The 20,778-nt window shown below is 36.2% G+C and overlaps 1 pseudogene across 1 annotated transcript in view; it reads left to right on the top strand.

Annotated features, from left to right (window-relative positions):
- The window catches only part of ANKRD26P3 (ankyrin repeat domain 26 pseudogene 3), an 82,174-nt pseudogene that overhangs the window by 46,567 nt on the left and 14,829 nt on the right, over positions 1-20,778 (top strand). The window contains exons 11-17 of the transcript NR_027248.3: positions 1,558-1,771; positions 3,023-3,206; positions 3,732-3,869; positions 5,336-6,260; positions 9,218-9,275; positions 14,216-14,301; positions 15,150-15,207. The product of NR_027248.3 is annotated as an ankyrin repeat domain 26 pseudogene 3 (transcript). The remainder of the gene's footprint in view (positions 1-1,557; positions 1,772-3,022; positions 3,207-3,731; positions 3,870-5,335; positions 6,261-9,217; positions 9,276-14,215; positions 14,302-15,149; positions 15,208-20,778) is intronic.

Genomic DNA, 20,778 nt, shown 5'->3' with positions numbered 1-20,778 from the left:
TAATCAATGGCTGTCCTGAGAATCCAACATAAATTTCCTTATCTAAAATAGTGGTTTGTTTAAATGATGAAGCAAAGATGGCATTGGAGCTGTTGGCTCACTGTCCCTTTTATTCTGTTAACTGCAGAAGCACTGAATCTGATGCCCTACCTTGTGGGGTAATGGTGTGCTTATCTCCCCCTCCTCAAACAGAGTTTGGAACGTTGCTAGTAACAGCTAGCCTACTGCTAAAATACCATCAATGACAGGACAGAAGAAATGGATATTTAGGAAAACATAAAACTGAGGAAGTAGGCCAAAAAAAGTACTGATCGAAAGCAAATAAAGGAAAGATCTATAATATTGAGACAGGCAGCATCTCCCTGCTTGCATGGTAATTTTCTTTAGCCGGTAACCAATGAGAACGCCTGCCATGGGAAGAAGGTGTGATTTTGTGATTTAATGATCCAAAGCCCATTTTTAGACACCACTTAGCCATAAAGAGATGCCCAAGGTTCTGTGGCGCAGGAGTCATTGAGATAAGTATTTATGACAAGGTCTACCCAAACACAAGGGATACAAGAAGGGGGCATGTCAGGCACAGGGAATTTTCACAGTGGCTTACAAAGGCAAGTCTTACCCTCACCTAACACAGTAGTTCTCCACACTGGCTGCATGTTAGATCCCCACAGAAGAGCTTTTGAAATCCCCAGTCCAATATTCTTGGAATATGGGGGCAGGAGAGAGTAGGAGAGCCAGTCATCAGAGGTTTTTAAAGCTCCCCGGTTAAATATTTAACTCCCCTGTTTGAAGAGGGACAGATAAGCCGAGATTAAGAACTACTGACCTAAAACAACATGATTTACAGACAGGCAAATCATTTGTGGAACTCAGGCCAGTTAATTGGTCATCTCCCTAAAACAATTCAAATTGGAGAAAATTCTGTATAGATGCAATAATAGCAATGTTTTATATGTGTATAGTATTTTATATTTTAAGGTGTTTTTATGTTCATGTGAGGGTGCTTTCTTAGGAAAATGCTTAGCATCTTGTAAAACTGTGCAACTGTTAGATATCATCAACCCAGTGTTATGGGTTGATGTGCAGGTCTAGGACTTATTTGGAGTCTCACTAAAGAAGTGGCTGGCAGAGCTTAAAATTGGGGCATTGGACACTTTCCTATATTCTTCTATTCTGGGAATCATGATTTCCTTTGAAGAATGCTGTAAAATGTTGACATATTTGGTTTTGTCTGTTACGAACTGTGATTGGCCTCACACATAAATAATGAATTCTTTTAGGTTGCTTTAGAAATGTGTTACTTTAGTATCTCAAATCAATAATACAATCACAAGTGAAACAAAAAAAATTGGTTGAATTTTTTTATCCATGTTCCCAAGAGAGCTGTTTATTATTATTTTTTTGTAATATCAAAGTCTGATTTTTTTCAGAGTAATGCTAGCATTTTAGAATGCATAGGGATGTACTCCTGCTCTTTACTTTTTGGGGAGAGTTTGTGTAGAATTTTTTTCTTCCTATAATTTATCTCATGTCTGTCTTGTTTTCTTTCTGATACAGATCCTGTTAACCTACTGAAAATTCAGGATGCAGTTCATTCATGGGAAAGATCAATAGAAGTTGAAAAAAATCACTGTGAACTACTTACAGTAAAAATGAAAAAAATGGAAAATGAGGTCCATGTACTACAAAAGGAGTTATCTGAAACAACAGAAATAAAATTACAGTTAGAACATCAAAGTGATGAATGGGAACGAGATTTCTACAGTTTGAGGCATGACACCCTAGTTATAAAGAAATGGTTGAAGTATTTCCTTTATGCTAAAAATATGTAATTACTGACTTACCTTCTGGGGCTGAACAGGGGAGAGAACTTCTGAGTCTTCTGCAGTGTGAAATTCTTTGATATGATATAACAAGTTCTTTACTGTGAATACTTCTACAAATAACTAATTGCTTACTCTTTTAAATCATCATTTTTATGACTATATAGGAGTTTACCATATGGAAATCTCATCATTGGTTTAGCAAATTGAATTGGGGGTTTTAAAGTTTTTTGTATTTAAATAATGTTGCAAGGAACATCTTTTATACAAATCTTTTTCTACATTTTTGGTTATTTACTTTGAATAAATTCTTCGATATAGATTTTTTTTGTTGTTCAATTATAAAAACTTTTAACAAATGGCCTTTGTCACTATTTCTCAGTTGTTCACAAGAAAATTTATATTAACTTGCAGTTTAGCCAACACAGTATGAAATGTCCATTTTTTAAAAACTCAGATTAATTCTTTTAAATTTATAGTTTTATTCTTACTATGCATGAAATAAAACTTGAAATGGAAAGTGATTTCAGATTAGTTTATTCCACACCTCTCACTTTTCCACAGATAAAATTAATTCAGAGTTCTATGTGAAAAACACATACTGTCCAAAGTGTCACCCAAAAAAGAAAGCTCAAAAGTGTGGGGTAGCGGATTAGACTCCTTAACCTAGTCTTGCATTATAGTAATCTGCTGATACATGTGTGAAAAGCAGCTGAAGGTGCTCTTTTACGTTGTAAATCATTTTTAGGGGTACCTGCACTATTTCATGAAGATGAACATTTATTTCTAGTGAATTTATAAACATGCTTATAAATGGCAAATTCTTTTTAATTAGCTAACTCTAAATTACTTGCCCTAATTGAGGAGCAATTACAACTGTATAGGGGAAAAAAAGTTAATTTTTCTACCTGTAATGTTGCTGAATAATTTCCAATATCCTTTTCTATAATATTTGCCAGAGTTACTAGGAACAGAAACTTCCCAGTTACCAGGATTTTCTTTCCTCATTACCTTTCAAGTATACATCCTTTGGAAGAGATGGAAGTAAGAAATTGGAAATATAAGAACTAGAAAGGAAAAACACTCACAAGCACAGACATTTTACTAAGATAGCAACCAACACGTGGAGAGCCAGATTGCAAAATGAACTTTTTATTTTCTAATGAAACTAATATCAAGATAAACACATTTCACTGCAGATCTACCTTAAGACAAGAAGAAGAGAAGAGAAAAAATGCCAGTGCATTGTATGAAAAAATCAGGGGACACTTAAGAAGAAAAGAAGAGCAGTACAGGAAAGAAGTTGAAGCAAACAAACAACTTCAGCTGACGCTGAGAACACGAGATACGGAATTGAGGACAGTAAGAAATCATTTGAACCAGGTAAAATCATCTGTGGTAAAAAGTTTCCATTTCTAATTTTACTTCATCAGTATTACTTATAATATCCTTTTGTTTTAATATCTTAGGCTTAAAAAATCAAAAATTAAAAATAACCTATGACATTTATAGCTAAAGTTACTTATTATATCATTGTTATCAAATAGATGCTCAGTATGTTTCCTGAGTAAAGGGTGCGTTGAGTTTGATCACTAACATAAATGTTCATTTAGGCATTTTTAAGTTAAAAGACAGGATAAATAGCTTTAAAACTGTATTGAAACTAGTTAAATATGTTGCGAAGAAATTTTACCTCACCATACTATATCTGCTTGTATTTAAAAAAATGTTTTTACTCTGATGAATTTAGCTGTTACTTATACCATTAAAGCTGTGTAATTCTTCAAGGAAAAAGGTTTTTATGTTTTAATAGGCTACTTATTAAATAGTTTTTTTAAAGGTTCTGCTCTTAATGTTTTAGACTTCTTTTTCAATGTTTATTAGACCAAAAATCTAATGTATTTCTAGGTTGTACAAGAGCTAAATGACACCCAGAGGCAACTTTCTCGGGAACAGAACGCCAGAATATTACAAGATGAAATTCTGACCAATCACCTTTGCAAACAAAAGGAGATAGCACTGGCTCGAAGGAAAAGGAATTCTCAGGTATTTTCTTTCAGTCATTCTCAAATATGTGTGCGTATACATATCTGTATGTGTATATATATTTAAAATCCAACCATATGTATCTTGGCAAGTAGAGAATATTTTAAAACCATTGGTGTGTGTCCATATAGTTGTGGGGGGAGTGGTGGTGGTGGCATTTTTGGCCACTGGATAAAGTCATGTTTTAAATTCAACTCCATCTGTGTGCAGTGGTCAAGCAGTGACTCTCATGATGGCCTCATCCTAAGGAGAGGCTTTTAATATTTTCCATAGGAATTGATGATCTCCCCATTATCTCCAAACCCTTGCTACTAACAATAGATGTTCTAGTTTTTGGAAGTGATTTCATCCCCTTGATTTATTAGTGGAGAGGTTAGTTTATTATTTGCAAGAAAGTACAGCCAATTCAGAGACCATTATTTTGAATGTGATTCTCCTCACTTTTGAGAATAGCAGTTTTCTCCAAGTGGTATCTTATTTCAGTACAAAAAGCTTTTCAAAACAGTAAGATACCATAATGTATACTTAGTGGTAATTTATTGATAAGTAGTATTTTGTTCCTAGTGAGCTAGTTTAGTGTTTTCTCCTATCTCACATTTAATACTGTTTCTAACATTGTGAAGGAAACAAAAGTTATTGAAACAGCAAGTAATCTCATGATTTTCTAAGAAGAGCTCTGTAAAATTCATCTATTTACCATTGGTGTCTTGGAGAAATAAGCTTCTTTTGTATTTACATATTTACACCACAGAAGGAACAGTGATTTTGGGGAGGAGCACCAGAAGTAGAATCAGAAGACCTGGGGAAAATCTTGCAGCTTGCTTCTATTTGTAAACTCTCCTTTTCAGAGTTGTGGTAAATGAGTTTATTGATGTATGTAGAAGTGCTTAGTACAATGACTTGATGGATCATTTATCAATAAATGTAACTATTACAACATTATAAAAATGATAGAAAAGTAGAATACTTATAGAATATTATATGTTAGATAAGTAGAATATCTGTAGAATATTCTCAGGAAAATGAACTTGAAGATCTTTGGGAAATTTCATCTGTCCAAAGATACCCAGAGCTACGGCTCTTGCTATGGGGTGGTGTACAGGTTAGATATCAGAGTGTAAACCCAATTTTTAGTGGATTCAAATTTATTAATATTTTATGTTATGCCTTTGGATTTTTTGTAATTTAGGGAAAAACTTTTCTTATTGTGAGATTCTTAAACATTCTCTAGAGGTTTAGTTTTTAACTTTCATGAATTTGTTGTCTTCAAATAAACTTTTGGACATTGAGGAATTTATGTTTAATAAGGTTTGAGGTTTTGATACAACTTTTTATCCCTTTGCATATCAACTGATGGCAACCCTTTCATTGTATAAATGTATAGGGTATGATTTAATTTCAGAGGAAACCAAGACATGTCCTTTTACTGAGTGCTAGCTAGTGAGCGCTTCCTTTGTTTCATTTAGATTCCTCACAGCCATGACAAAGTACAAGATCTGTTGCATGAAAATCGCATGTTGCAGGACGAAATTGCCACCCTCAGACTGGAAATAGACACAATAGAAAAACAGAACGAGGAAAATAAAAAGAACTATTTTGAGGACATTGGTGACCTGCAAAAGACAATAAAACGGAATGGGGAAATATTAACAACAATGATATCCGAGTATACTGCACAGCTTGGTGTCCTGACAGCTGAGAATACCATGCTCCATTCTCAACTGGAGAGGGAAAAACAAAAGAAAGAAAGCCTGGAGACAGAAGTTGAATCACACCGTTGCAGACTGGCTGCTGTTAGACGTGATTGTGAACAAAGTGAGACATCCAAAAGAGACGTGGAACTTGCTTTCCAGGGAGCAAAAGATGAATGGTTTCATTTACCGGAGAAAATGAATTTTGATGACCTAAAAGCTAACAGTGTCCTTCGTTCTCAGCAACTGTCTAGAACTCAAAGTAACTTGGAAAGCCTAAGCCTTAAGTTCCAACACACAAGAGATGCTCTTACAGAAAAGCAGAAAAGAGGTTTGTTTCAGAATGCATGGGAAGAGACCTACGCCAAACCCAGTGTCAAATCCAGGAAATTCAACAAATGTATCAAAATAAACAATGTAACTGAAGGAATTCATTGGAAAGCAGGAATCTGTAGAGGCGAGGCTGTCTCAACTGCAGAGTGAAAATATGTTGCTTCCACAGCAACTGGATGATGCTTACAACAAAGCTGACAATCAAGAAAAGACAATAATTACTATCCAAGACCAATCTCGTGCTACTGTGAAAAATCTTCAAGCTGAGAAAGAAAAGCTAGAAGAGAAAAATCAGACATTAATCAACGAATGCAATCATTTTTTTAAAAGGCTTCAACAACAGGGAAATGAGAAAGCAGAAAGAGAAGTAAGTATCAAGAAAGATAAATACTTTTCAAACTTTCTGAAAGAAAATGTAAAGTAATATCTGGTTATGGCTAAATGTTGAATGGAGTTGAATATGAAGATAGATGGATTGTCAAGGTATTTGCTATATCAGCCTAAAAACATACCTTATTCTCAGTAAATAAAAGTTAGACCTGAGAGATGCTTTACTCTGAGTAAAGACATACTGTCACCTATGAAATTTTAGGAGGTTGTTACAAGTTGTTAATAGATATAGACTAGTATTAATAAAGCAGTCTTATACTCCTGATAGAATAATTTTAACGTCTTTACGTGAAGACCATGATGAAGCAGATGAATGGAAATGATTACTCCTAGAATGAGTACTTTTAAACTTAAAATTCAGTTCAGTGAGTTATTTTGACAGTTAATTCCAGTTTTCCCAGGTGAACTGGAGTGTATGACTGAATCTCATAATACTTCTACATCAGTAGCTTTTTATGTATTTTATTTGGCATAATTTTATTTTTATTCATGTCCATTCGACTTGAATCTGAAAATATGTCCATCTCAAATTATGTGTTGCAATGACCACTCAATTCTTTAAAGGCATATACTTTTTATTAAATCAACATTAGGGACAAATGTGGTGAATGTTATCAAAGCCTTGTTTGATTTAATCTTCTCACTGTTATGTGTAATTTACTTTGAATATCTTTACAAATAATTTGTTCATAATTTTCATCTCAAGGCTCCATGACTATCATTTGAATATCACTTTGTCCTGTACAAAGATCATTGTAGCTCTATGTGATTTATTAGTTTAGCATTGGAACCCTATTTTCAGACTAGTGAGGGGTGACAGGGATACACGTATAGTGGGAAAGGAGTGAGTAGTGGGGAACAGAGTTGTAGGAGCCGAGATCAGGGAGGAAGGTGGAGGCCAGTTTACCTAGGGCCTCGGAGGCCCTGGAACTTTCCTTTTATTCTGAAATAGGAATCTATTGGAAAGATTTGAGCAGGCGATTGACTATGTGAGGAGCTCTGAGGTTGGTTTGAGCTTCTAATAAAAACGAAGGAAAACATTTCACAGTGCAGAATTTACCACCACCAGACCCTCCCACGTACCCATTTCTCTGTGAGACTTCAGTAGGTTATTAGGCATTGAATGTTCATCAGGGTATGAATGAATAGTGGGGGTGAATCTGTTGTCTAAGTAACACAATAGAGATTTGGCAGGAAGATAACACCTTCTGTGTCCTTAACTGAATTCAGTAATAAACAGGAACGTGAACCCATGAAGAAAAGAAGGTAAGTCAATGTACATGGTGATATATTTGTTATGTATATATGTTAGAATTAAATGTTAACATAATTTAATAATAAGGTGATTTATAAAATCGGTAGAAAAAAATCAGGTAGTTGCAAGACAACTTCAACAAGAATTGGCAGATACCCTTAAAAACAATCTATGTCAGAGGCGTCACTAGAGGTTACATCCCATTGTCACATCCATTTAGAAGAGGGCACACAAGAGTCAAAGAAGAAATGAGGGCAAATCAGAAGTCATGTACAAACAAAATTGAACACGTCAACAGTTAATCTACAGCTGGTTAAACAATACAAAGCGTTTTCGAAGACCAAATTCAACATTCAATAGAATGTTCTAGAAAACTATAATATTTCTAGTCCGGGAGCGGTGGCTCACGCCTGTAATCCCAGCACTTTGGGAGGCTGAGGCAGGTGGATCACCTGAGGTTGGGAGTTCGAGACCAGCCTGACCAACATAGAGAAACCCTGTCTCTACTAAAAATACAAAATTAGCCTAGTGCGGTGGCACATGCCTGTAATCCCAACTACTTGGGAGGCTGAGGCAGGAGAATCGCCTGAACCTGGGAGGCGGAGGTTGCGGTGAGCCGAGATGCAGCCTGGGCAACAAGAGCGAGACTCTGTCTAGAAAAAAAAAAATTATAATATTTCTTGTCTTTACTTTTATAAATGGATACAGACACAACAGTGTCTGTATCCATTCAGATACGCAACTGTATCCATTCACAAAAGTAAAGACAAGAAATAGGATAATTGTATATTTATTTAACGGATGTCAGGATAACTTATACAGAAAAGCCATTATCCTCTTGGCAAAAATGCTAATATTTTAGATTAATTTACAAGCTATTTGAAAAGTTAGGCGTTTTCTTTATGTTCCTTTTATTTTAAATATATTGTAAAAGCACAGAAATATTCAGATCATGTATAGTATGTACATGAAAAATAGAGAAATTAAGAATTAAGAAAATAATTAAGATAGAAGAAAATTTTGTAGATCCCACCATTGGATTTTTTTAAAACAATTTTATGGAGCTATAATTCACATACCATACCATTCAACCATTTAAAGTATATGATTCACTGTCTCAGTATATTCACAGAGTTGTGTAACCATCACTACAATTAATTTTAGAACATTTTTTTCTCCCTGAAATGAAACCCCATTTCACTTAGCCATCACTGGCTGCATCCCCTACTCAAGTCTTTCCACCTTGCCTGGTCCTAGGCAACCACCCTCTACTTTTTGTCTCCATAGGTTATACCTGTCTGACCATTTCATACAAATAGCATCATACAAAATGCAACTTTTTATGACTGACTTCTTTCACTTTGCACGTGTATTAGGCCATTTTTGTGTTACAAAGAAGGGATTCCCAACTCCCAGGCCAAGGACCAGTACTGATCCATGGTCTGTTAGGAACCAGGCCACACAGCAGGAGGTGAGCAGCGCTTCATCTGTGTTTACAGCCGCTCCCCATCACTTGCATTACCCCTGAGTATCACCTCCTGTCAGATCAGCTGTGACAGTAGATTCTCATAGGGGCATGAACCCTATTGTGAACTACCCACATGCAAGGAATCTAGGTTGCACACTCCTTCTGAGAATCTAATGCCTGATGATCTGTCACTGTCTCCTATCACCCCCAGATGAGACACTCTAGTTGCAGGAAAAGAAGCTCAGGGCTCCCACTGATTCAACTTTATGGTGAGTTGTATAATTATTTAATTGTATATTATAATATAATAATTATAGAAATAAAGTGTGCAATAAATGTAATATGCATGAAACATCTTGAAACCATCCCTCTGCTCCTTGGTCCATGGAAAAATTGTCTTCCGTGAAACCAGTCCCTTGTGCCAAAAAGGTTGGGGATGGTTGCTATAATGGAATAACTGAGGCAGGGTCTTTTATAAAGACAAGAGGTTTAACTGGCTCATGGTACTGCAGGCTGTACACACATGGCCACAAAATCTGTTCTGCTTCTGGTGAGGCCCCAGGAAGCTTATTAGCATGGTGGAGGGGGAAGGGGAGCAGGCACGTCACCTGGCAAGAAGGGGAGCAAGAGAGAGGGGGAGGTGCCACACACAGTTAAACAAACAGATCTCGCATGAATTCACTCACCACTAAGGGGATGGTGCTACGCCATTCATTCCCCCATGATCCACACACCTCCCATCAGGCCCCACCTCCAACACTGACAGCTACATTTCAACATGACGTTTGGAGGGAACATGTATTGAAACCGTCTTAGAATGTTTTCAGGGTTCATTTGTGTCATACCATGCATGAGTACTTTATTTCTTTTTATGGTTGAATAATATTCTATTGTGTGGACATACCAGTTGTCCATTCATCAGTTGAATGTTATTGTGTGTGGACATATGTTTATTTTTTCCCCACTGCTGTTGGATTTTATCCTCAAGTTATTGGGCTGATTTCACCATCTCTTTGCATTACCCATGCTGTCCTTCCTGACTTTTCAGCTTCTGTTTATCTAGCCTCGTTCTTTCAGACCTGGAGCCCAATTTTCCCTTTTTCATGAAACTTTCCCTCACTGTTCTGTCACTGGCCATATGCTTCAGCACCTGTCTAGTCTGTGCAAGACACTTATCCCTTAATTTTACATTGCTTTTCACTTTTCTCACAGTCTCACAGATATCTCACTGATATTTTTTATCTACTTTCTTGTCGATTTGTACATGTTCTTTGGACAAATATCTCTTCAGATCCTTAGTACCATTAATTGGACTTTTTAAAATTGTTGTTTCAGATCCTTGTGTATTCCAGATATTAGTCCCTAGTCACATGAATTGTTTGCGAATACTTTCACCCATTCTGCAGATTGCCTCTTTACTCTGTTGGCTGTTTCCTTTGTTTGCAGCAGGTTTTTATTTCACCGTAGTCTCAATGGTCTATTTTGAGGATTTGGGCTGTACTTTTGAATCATAACCATAAAATCATTACCTAGACCAATGTCCTGAAGCATTTCTCCTAGGTATTCTTCCAGTAATTTTATAATGTTGGGTTTTATGTTTAAGTCTTTAATCCATTCTGAGTGCATTTTGTATATAATGAGAGGAAGGGACCCAGGTTCATTCTTCTGCCTATGGATATCCAGTTTTCCCAGCATCATTTATTGAAAACGGTGTTATTTCCCCGGTGTATCTTCCTGGCACCTTTGTTGACAATCAGTTGGCTGTAAATACATGGATTTATTTCTCAGTTTTCAGATCTGTTTCACTGACGTACCTGTCTTCATATCAACACTATGTTATTTTGGATACTATAGCCTCTTAATATATTTTGAAGTCAAGTAGTGCAATTTCTCCAGCTTTGTTCTTTTTGCTCAGGAGTGATTTGGCTGTTCGGGATCTTCTTTCAGTTCCATACAAATTTTAAGATTGCTTTTTCAATTTCTTTGAAAAACAATGGTATTTTGATAAGGATTACATTGAATCTGTAGATTGCTTTGGATAGTATGGTTATTTTAACAGTATGATTTTTTTTTCCAATTCATGACCATGGGATGTCTGTCCATTTGTTTGTATCTTCTTCAGTTTCTTTCATTAGTACTGTTTAGTATTCCTCATAGAGATCTTTTACCTTATTTATTCCTATTTAATCTTTTTGTAGGTATTATAAGTGGGATTGCTTTCTTGATCATTTTCCAGCTAGTTCATTTGATGTATAGAAGCACTACTGATTTTTGTATGCTGATTTGGTATCCTGCAACTTTACTAAATTTGTATATCAGTTCTAAGACTTTTTTGGTAGAGTCTTTAGGTTTTTCTTTTCTTTTTTTTTTCTTTTCTTTTTTTATTATACATTAAGTTTTAGGGTACATGTGCACAACGTGCAGGTTAGTTACATATGTATACATGTGCCATGTTGGTGTGCTGCACCCATTAACTTGTCATTTAACATTAGGTATATCTCCTAATGCTGTCCCTCCCCCTCCCAGGTTTTTCTTTCTTTAAGATAAGGTCATCTACAAAGAGAGACCATTTGACTTCTTTTTCCAATGGATGCCCTTTATTTCTTTTTCTCAGCCACTTGCTCTGGCTAGGAATTCTAGTACTGTGTTGAATACAAATGGTGAGAGTGAGTATCTTTGTCTTGTTCCAGTTCTTAGAGGAAAGGCTTTCCGCTTTTCGCTATTCAGTATGATGTTAGCTGTGGCTTTGCTTATGTGACCTTTATTATGTTGAGGGATGTTCCTCGTGTGCTTGATTTGTTGAGAGTTTTTCTCATGAATCTTATCAGATGCTTTTCTGCATCTGTTGAGATAGTTGTATGTGTTTTTCCCTTCATTCTGTTGATGAGATGTATGATGTTTATTGATTTACATATGTTGAACCATCCTTGCATCCCAGGGAGAAGTCCTACTTTATCCTGGGGTGTTAACTTTTTGTGGTGTTACTGGATTCAGTTTGCTAGTATTTTGTGGAGAGTTTTTGCATTTGCGTTCATCAGGGTTATTGGCCTGTAGTTTGTTGTTGTCATCCCCTTTCTAGTCTTGATATCAGGATAATGCTGACCTTATAGAACAAACTAGGAAGATTTTGAAGTGGTTTGAGAAGAATTGGTGTTAGTTTTCCTGTAAATGATTAGTAGAATTCATCAGTAAAGTTATCTGGTTTGGGGTCTTTCTTTTTTTGTGAACTTATTACTGGTTCAATCTCATTATCTGTGATTCCTCTGATCAGGTCTTCTAGATTTTCCTTGATTGTGATCTTTGGTATTATCACAAGAGGGCACCTGGAGACAAAAATAGCCTGTCTAGTTTTGCCGTTCTACATAAAGATATACTTGTGAAATAGGGAATGATTAATACAGGAGTAAAGGGAAGTATAATTCACAAATGGTTAAAAATAACACCTCAGTCAGCCTGAGGGGACGTATGGAAGCCAGAATGGGCAGGCCCCACCTCCAATAGCTGGCTCACAATGTTAGGAGCTAATTGAGTTTGGAGCTGCTTTAGATCTCTTTGGTCACCAGCTCCACTATATCATCCTCCCCTCGGAGGCGTTGCTCTGAATTATACCTCAGTGCCAAATGCTTAATTTTTCCCACATAATGAGTGAAATGTACAAACATGGTAAAAGCAAATGCTTGAAAATGTCTTTGAGGGATTTTTTTTAAATCTCTACACTGGTTTACTAAATACAAATATCTCTAGCTTATTTTCATTTAATTTATTTTATTGCATATATTTAAGGAATACAACATGATATTTTGATACATTTATACACAGTGAAGTGGTTATAGTCAAGCAAATTAACATATTCATCATCTCACATAGTTCTTCTTTATATATCAGTATTTCTAATGGCATTCTCAGAACCAGGAGGCAGCAAGTGTTATCTGTTAAGCCATATATCATTGATAGTCATTTCTCCCCACTCCCTACTTTTTTGAATTACTTATTTGTTAGAAATCCCCCTAGAAGTATATATAATTCTTTAGGACAACTTCAAAACTATAATTGCATACAGTAGTCATGCTCTGACCTATTTTCATAGTTAAAACACTGTTGCTGGGAATGTCATCAAAAATGCAAATTATGGAGGAATTATTTAGGAAAAAAAAATGAAATACTAAGCATTCGTCTCTCGTACTCTTCACAGAACTCATGAGAGGGTAGTAGAGGCAACCAAGCCTCTGATGTAGAGAGAGAAGACCAGATCTTTATCCACTGCTCATAGTACAAGGCCAGTTCTAGAGTCACCTTGTATGTGAAATGTTAATAATGGTTTAGATCTCAACAGAAATCATATTCCAAGAGAAAATCTAAGGATCCCTACCTCATGCTCATGAACTTCAAATAACAGTGTAGATGACTACTTGTTTAAGGTTAGCTATATAATCTTTTTTTCTTTAGCTTTCAGATTTCTGATGTAATTCTTGCAGTTTATTTAGTGAAATATATTGAGTTGCTTAATTGCCTCACAATAGTTAAGTAAAGGTCATAATTATCTGTGTTAATAAAGGGAGGAAATAATTTTACAGTTTAAGTCCCTGGAGCTCTCATTTTCAGGAGCGGCCCAATTGCTAATTCTATTCAATAACTGTAAGTAAAAGGATGCATTTAAATCCTTTAAAAGCTGTATTTGTTAGGTTTTAGAAATTGAATGTTATTGCCTAATAACTAGAGGTAAACTTAGAGATGCTTTGGCTTACTTTCTAGTTGATGTTAATATGGCTGTTGTTCACAACACTTGTAAAGCTTTCCACTCCTAATCTTATGTAAATGATTGGTACCTTAACATTTAATCACAAATGGTTGTTTATTATTTAAAGGAGTCTAAGATAAACAATTTTTATGAATTAAATACACCTGTGACACTATAAAAGATTAATTTATAAGTTAAAAGTTTTGTCATTTTCTTACATAAGAGTACATTGTTAATTGCTGTTGTACTTGCAACATTTTCATCTCAATTTTTGTAAAATATGTCTATTGCTGGGCAATTGTACAACAACTTTTAAGTAGTTAAATCAAGCAAATATTTGAATTTTTAAAATAAAGTTCACAGATGTCTATCTTGTCATCACTTGAATGATTTGCAACTAATATGGTAGTGATATAAAGTCATTAACTCACCAATACACCAAACAGAATTAATTATATTCTTCCTTCCCAGAATTCCATGAAAAGCCATGCATGGTCGCTGTCTACCCTGGAAATGTGACAGGAACCTTCCAGTTCAATCATGTGATTTCACTCATGGTAAGAGTCCATTTCTGGGAATCTAAAAATAAATCCAACAATGACAAGCTATAGCAATTGTAGAGATTGTAAGGGAAAGGGTAGTTCAATCATGCTTGACCCAGTTTAAGACACTTGTGTAATGTTTGACCATTTTTCAAGTGGGGGAAAATTACAAAAGCCAGTCACAGTGGCACATGCTTAAAAGTTCTCACTATTCCAGAAACTGAAGCAAGAAGATCAGTTGAGCCCAAGAGTTCAAGGTTGTTGCATGCCATGATTCTGCATGTTTATAGCCACTGTACTCCAGCCTGGATCATGTAGTGAGACCCTGTCTCAAAAAAATTACAGAAACCATAAAACATTTTTTTAAGACAGTGTCTTACTCTGTCACCCAGGCTGGCTTATGGTGGCAAAATCATGGCTCACTGTTGATTCAGCCTCCTGGACTCAAGCAATTCTCCCACCTCAACCTCCTGAGTAACTGGGACTACAGGCACGTGCCACCATGCCTGACCTTTGTTTTTTTTTTTTTTTTTTGTAGAGATGGAGTCTCACTATGTTGCCCACGCTGGTCTGAAATTCCTGGCCTCATGCAATTCTCTCTCCTCAGCCTCCCAAAGTGCCAGAATTACAGGTGTGAGCCACCATGCCTGGCCCCTTAAAGCATTGGTTGAACAAAAATAAATAAACAGCAACTAGTTTTCTTTGTGTATCATTGTTACTAAAATAATCATTTCAATCAATGAACTTTCATTTATAATTTTGGTGGGGTTTTTATGACCTCCTTAATGCAGAGAAAAGTAGCATAAGCCCATGTTAAGTGAAGACTCGACCTTGTTTCTTTTCTTGGCTTTATATCCTAACAGAACATAGAAGAGCAAACTGAGGCTTTCTTGGACAGCATTGCAGCCAGGAGCTTAAAAGGTAACAAAGAAAATGATTGGTTTTGTACATATATTAGGAGATTCTAGCTAGCTGATTTTATTTTCATCATTTTGCTGGCTTATTTTGTTTTTCTGAAAATAAGAGATGATTTAAATCTAAGTGCTTCAGAGCCATGAAATTGTACAACTGGGCATGAAAAGATGAATGTTATATACCTCTGTAAATTGTTAAGGATGAGGCAAATATAAAATGTTCTCATTAGTTCTTACCAGAAAAATCAGGTCATATATCTGTCATTTTACCAGAGGATGATGTGTGTAAATGCAGATGTGATTCAAGGGAAGATTTTTTTTAACTTTAGATTCTGGGATAAATGTGCAGAGCGTGCAGGTTTGTTACATAGGGATAATTGTGCCATGGTCGTTTGCTGCACCTATCAACTCGTCATCTAAGTTTTAAGCCCCGCATGGATTAGGTATCTGTCCTAATGCTCTCCCTCCCCTTGCCCCCAACCCCGGCAGGCCCTGGTGTGTGATGTTCCCCTCCCTGTGTCCATGTGTTCTCGTTGTTCGACTCCCACTTATGAGTGAGAACATGCAGTGTTTGGTTTTCTGTTCCTGTGTTAGTTTGCTGAGAATGATGGTTTCCAGCTTCATTCATGTCCCTGCAAAGGACATGAACTCATTCTTTTTTATGGCTGCATAATATTTTCTTGGTGTATATGTGCCACATTTTCTTTATCCAGTCTATCATTGATGGGCATTTGGGTTGGTTCAAAGTCTTTGCTATTGTGAATAGCGCTGCAGTAAACATACGTGTGCATGTGTCTTTATAGTAGAATGATTTATAATCCTTTGGGTATATACCCACTAATGGGATTGCTGGGTCAAATTATATTTCTGGTTCTAGAGGCTTGAGGAATCGCCACACTGTCTTCCACAATAGTTGAACTAATTTACACTCCCACCAACAGTGTAAAAGCATTCCTGTTTCTCCACATCCTCTCCAGTATCCGTTGCTTGCTGACTTTTTAATGACTGCCATTCTAACTGGAGTGAGATGGTATCTCATTGCAGTTTTGATTTGCATTTCTCTGATGACCAGTGGTGATGAGCTTTTTTTCATAGGTTTGTCAGCCACATAAATATCTTCTTTTGAGAGGTGCCTGTTCATATCCTTCACCCACTTTTGATTGGGTTGTTTTTTCTTGTAAATTTGTTTAAATTCCTTGTAGATTCTGGATATTAGACTTTTGTCAGATGGATAGATTGCAGAAATTTTCTCCCATTCTGTAGGTTGTCTGGTCACTCTGATGATAGTTTCTTTTCCTGTGCAGAAACTCTTTAGTTTAATTAGATCCCATTTGTCAATTTTGGCTTTAGTTGCAATTGCTTTTTGTGTTTTAGTCATGAAGTCTTTGCCCATGCCTATGCCCTGAATAGTATTGCCTAGGTTTTCTTCTAGGGCTTTATGGTTTTAGGTTTTATGTTTAAGTCTGTAATCCATCTTGAGTTAATTTTTGTATAAAGTGTAAGGAAGGGGTCCAGTTTCTGTTTTCTGCATATGGTTAGCCAGTTTTCCCAGCATTATTTATTAAATAGGGAATCCTTTCCCCATTGCTTGTTTCTGTCAGGTTTGTTGAAGATCAGATGGTTGTAGATGTGTGGTGTTGTTTCCGAAGCCTCTGTTCTGTTCCATTGGTCTATATATCTGTTTTGGTACCAGTACCGTGGTGTGTTGGTTACTGAAGCCTTGTAGTACAGTTTGAAGTCAGGTAGCGTGATGCCTCCAGCTGTGTTCTTTTTGCTTAGGATTGTCTTGGCTATACAAGCTTTTTTGGTTCCATATGAAATTTAAAGTAGTTTATTATAATTCTGTCAAGAAAGTCAATAGTAACTGGATGGGAATAGCATTGAATCTATTAATTATGTTGGGCAGTATGGCCATTTTCACGATATTGATTCTTCCTATCCATGAGCATGGAATGTTTTTCCATTTGTTTCTGTCCTCTCATTTCCTTGAGCAATGGCTTGTAGTTCTCCTTGAAGAAGTCCTTCACGTCCCTTATAAGATGTATTCCTAGGTTTTTTTGTTTGTTTGTTTTGTAGCAATTGTGAACGGTAGTACACTCATGATTTGGCTCTCTGCTTGTCTATTCGTGTATAAGAATGATTGTGATTTTTGCACATTGATTTTGTATCCTGAGACTTTGCTGAAGCTGCTTATCAGCTTAAGGCGTTTTTGGGCTGAGATGATGGAGTTTTCTAAATATACAATCATGTCATCTGCAAACAGGGACAATTTCACTTTCTCTTCTCCTATTTGAATACCCTTTATTTCTCTATCTTGCCTGATTGCCCTGGCCAGAACTTCCAATACTATGTTGAATAGGAGTGGTGAGAGAGGGCATCTTTGTCTTGTGCTGGTTTTCAATGGGAATGCTTCCAGCTTTTGCCCATTCAGTATGATATTGGCTATGGGTTTGTCATAAATAGCTTTTATTATTTTGAGATATGTTCTATCACTACCTAGTTTATTGAGTTTTTGGCATGAAGAGTATTGAATTTTATTGAAGGCCTTTTCTGCATCTATTAAGATAATCATGTGGTTTTTGTCATTGGTTCTATGTGATGGATTACGTTTATTGATTCGTGTAAGTTGAAACAGCCTTGCATCCCAGGGATGAAACTGACTTGATTGTGGTGGATAAGCTTTCTGATTTGCTGCTGGATTCGGTTTGCCAGTATTTTATTGAGGATTTTTGCATCAATGTTCATCAGGGATATCAGCCTGAAATTTTCTTTTTTTGTTGTGTCTCTGCCAGGTTTTGGTATCAGTTTGATGGTGGCCTCATAAAATGAGTAGGGAGGAGTCCTTTTTATATTGTTTAGAATAGTTTCAGAAGGAATGGTACCAACTCCTCTTTGTAATCCTAGTAGAATTCCGCTGTGAATCTGTCTGGTCCTGGGCTTTTTTTGGTTGGTGGGCTATTAATTACTGCCTCAATTTCAGAACTTGTTATTGGTCTATTCAGGGATTCGACTTCTTCCTGCTTTAGTCTTAGGAGGGTGTATGTGTCCAGGACTTTATCCATTTCTTCTAGATTTTCTAGTTTATTTGTGTAGATGTGTTTATAGTATTCTCAGATGGTAGTTTGTATTTCTGTGGGATCAGTGGTAATATCCCCTTTGTCATTTTTATCATGTCTATTTGATTCTTCTCTCTTTTCTTCTTTATTACACTAGCTAGTGGTCCATCTATTTTGTTAATCTTTTCAAAAAACCAGCTCCAGGATTCATTGATGTTTTAAAGGGTTTTTCATGTCTCTATCTCCTTCAGTTCCACTCGGATCTTAGCTATTTCTTGTCTTCTGCTAGCTTTTGAATTTATTTGCTCTTGCTTCTCTAGTTCTTTTAATTGTGATGTTAGGGTGTTGGTTGTAGATCTTTCCTGCTTTCTCTTGTGGGCATTTAGTGCTATAAATTTCCCTCTAAACACTCCTTTAAATGTGTCCCAGAGATTCTGGTCATTGTGTCTTTGTTCTCATTGGTTTCAAAGAACTTATTTATTTCCGCCTTAATTTCATTATTTACCCACTAGTCATTCAGGAGCAGGTTGTTCAATTCCATGTAGTTGTGTGGTTTTGAGTGAGCTTCTTTTTTTTTTTTTTTTTTACATGAACCAGTGATGCAAATCTTTACTGAACTTTACTGAACATTCTCTGGAATATAAAAGAACATGTTTTATTGCATTTATCACAAAACTTAATGGTAAGCATTTTAGATCATTTTTTGTTTCTCTAACAAAAAGCAGTTACTCCTGATAAATTTTTATCTTTGTTTTCTCCTTGCCTTTAGCTCTTTTATTTTTCCCTTGCTTCTCTCCCTTTCCTCTAACTTCTTTCTACCTTATGAATATATAACAGAGGCTACAGACCTCCTTAGGTTTGCCAAATCCTCAGAATTAAGGAAAATAACTGAAAAAATGTATTATATAAAATATGGACTTTAAATTTATATAGCTTTCCTGTAAAACTTTAATTATTGCTTTTCTTCCTTTGTGCTCTACTCTCTCCATCTCGAGTTCATATTATATATTTCTTAAAATTCTTGCTTTTCACATTGAATATCATCAATTTCCTCATTTCAATCTCTTCTTCTTTGCATTATGGGATATCTTTTTGAGCTCGGTTATTTTATTTTGATATTAATTTGTTTAGTATTTAATTTTTTTTATTATACTTTAAGTTTTAGGGTACCTGTGCACATTGTGCAGGTTAGTTACATATGTATACATGTGCCATGCTGGTGCGCTGCACCCACTAACTCGTCATCTAGCATTAGGTATATCTCCCAATGCTATCCCTCCCCCCTCCCCCCACCCCACGACAGTCCCCAGAGTGTGATATTCCCCTTCCTGTGTCCATGTGATCTCATTGTTCAATTCCCACCTATGAGTAAGAATATGCGGTGTTTGGTTTTTTGTTCTTGCGATAGTTTACTGAGAATGATGATTTCCAATTTCATCCATGTCCCTACAAAGGACATGAACTCATCATTTTTTATGGCTGCATAGTATTCCATGGTGTATATGTGCCACATTTTCTTAATCCAGTCTATCATTGTTGGACATTTGGGTTGGTTCCAAGTCTTTGCTATTGTGAATAATGCCGCAATAAACAAATGTGGGCATGTGTCTTTATAGCAGCATGATTTATAGTCCTTTGGGTATATACCCAGTAATGGGATGGCTGGGTCAAATGGTATTTCTAGTTCTAGATCCCTGAGGAATCGCCACACTGACTTCTACAATGGTTGAACTAGTTTACAGTCCCACCAACAGTGTAAAAGTGTTCCTATTTCTCCACATCCTCTCCAGCACCTGTTGTTTCCTGACTTTTTAATGATCGCCATTCTAACTGGTGTGAGATGGTATCTCATTGTGGTTTTGATTTGCATTTCTCTGATGGCCAGTGATGGTGAGCATTTTTTCATGTGTTTTTTGGCTGCATAAATGTCTTCTTTTGAGAAGTGTCTGTTCATGTCCTTCACCCACTTTTTGTTGGGGTTGTTTTTTTTTTTCTTGTACATTTGTTTGAGTTCTTTGTAGATTCTGGATATTAGCCCTTTGTCAGATGAGTAGGTTGCGAAAATTTTCTCCCATTCTGTAGGTTGCCTGTTCACTCTGATGGTAGTTTCTTTTGCTGTGCCGAAGCTCTTTAGTTTAATTAGATCCCATTTGTCAATTTTGTCTTTTGTTGCCATTGCTTTTGGTGTTTTAGACATGAAGTCCTTGCCCATGCCTATGTCCTGAATGGTAATGCCTAGGTTTTCTTCTAGGGTTTTTATGGTTTTAGGTCGAACGTTTAAGTCTTTAATCCATCTTGAATTGATTTTTGCATAAGGTGTAAGGAAGGGATCCAGTTTCAACTTTCTACATATGGCTAGCCAGTTTTCCCAGCACCATTTATTAAATAGGGAATCCTTTCCCCATTGCTTGTTTTTGTCAGGTTTGTCAAAGATCAGATAGTTGTAGATATGTGGCGTTATTTCTGAGGGTTCTGTTCTGTTCCATTGATCTATATCTCTGTTTTGGTACCAGTACCATGCT

The sequence above is a fragment of the Homo sapiens genome, chromosome 13 (assembly GCF_000001405.40).
Source record: "Homo sapiens chromosome 13, GRCh38.p14 Primary Assembly".
NCBI classification, from domain to species: domain Eukaryota; kingdom Metazoa; phylum Chordata; class Mammalia; order Primates; family Hominidae; genus Homo; species Homo sapiens.
This window is presented reverse-complemented; position numbering and strand designations above follow the sequence as displayed.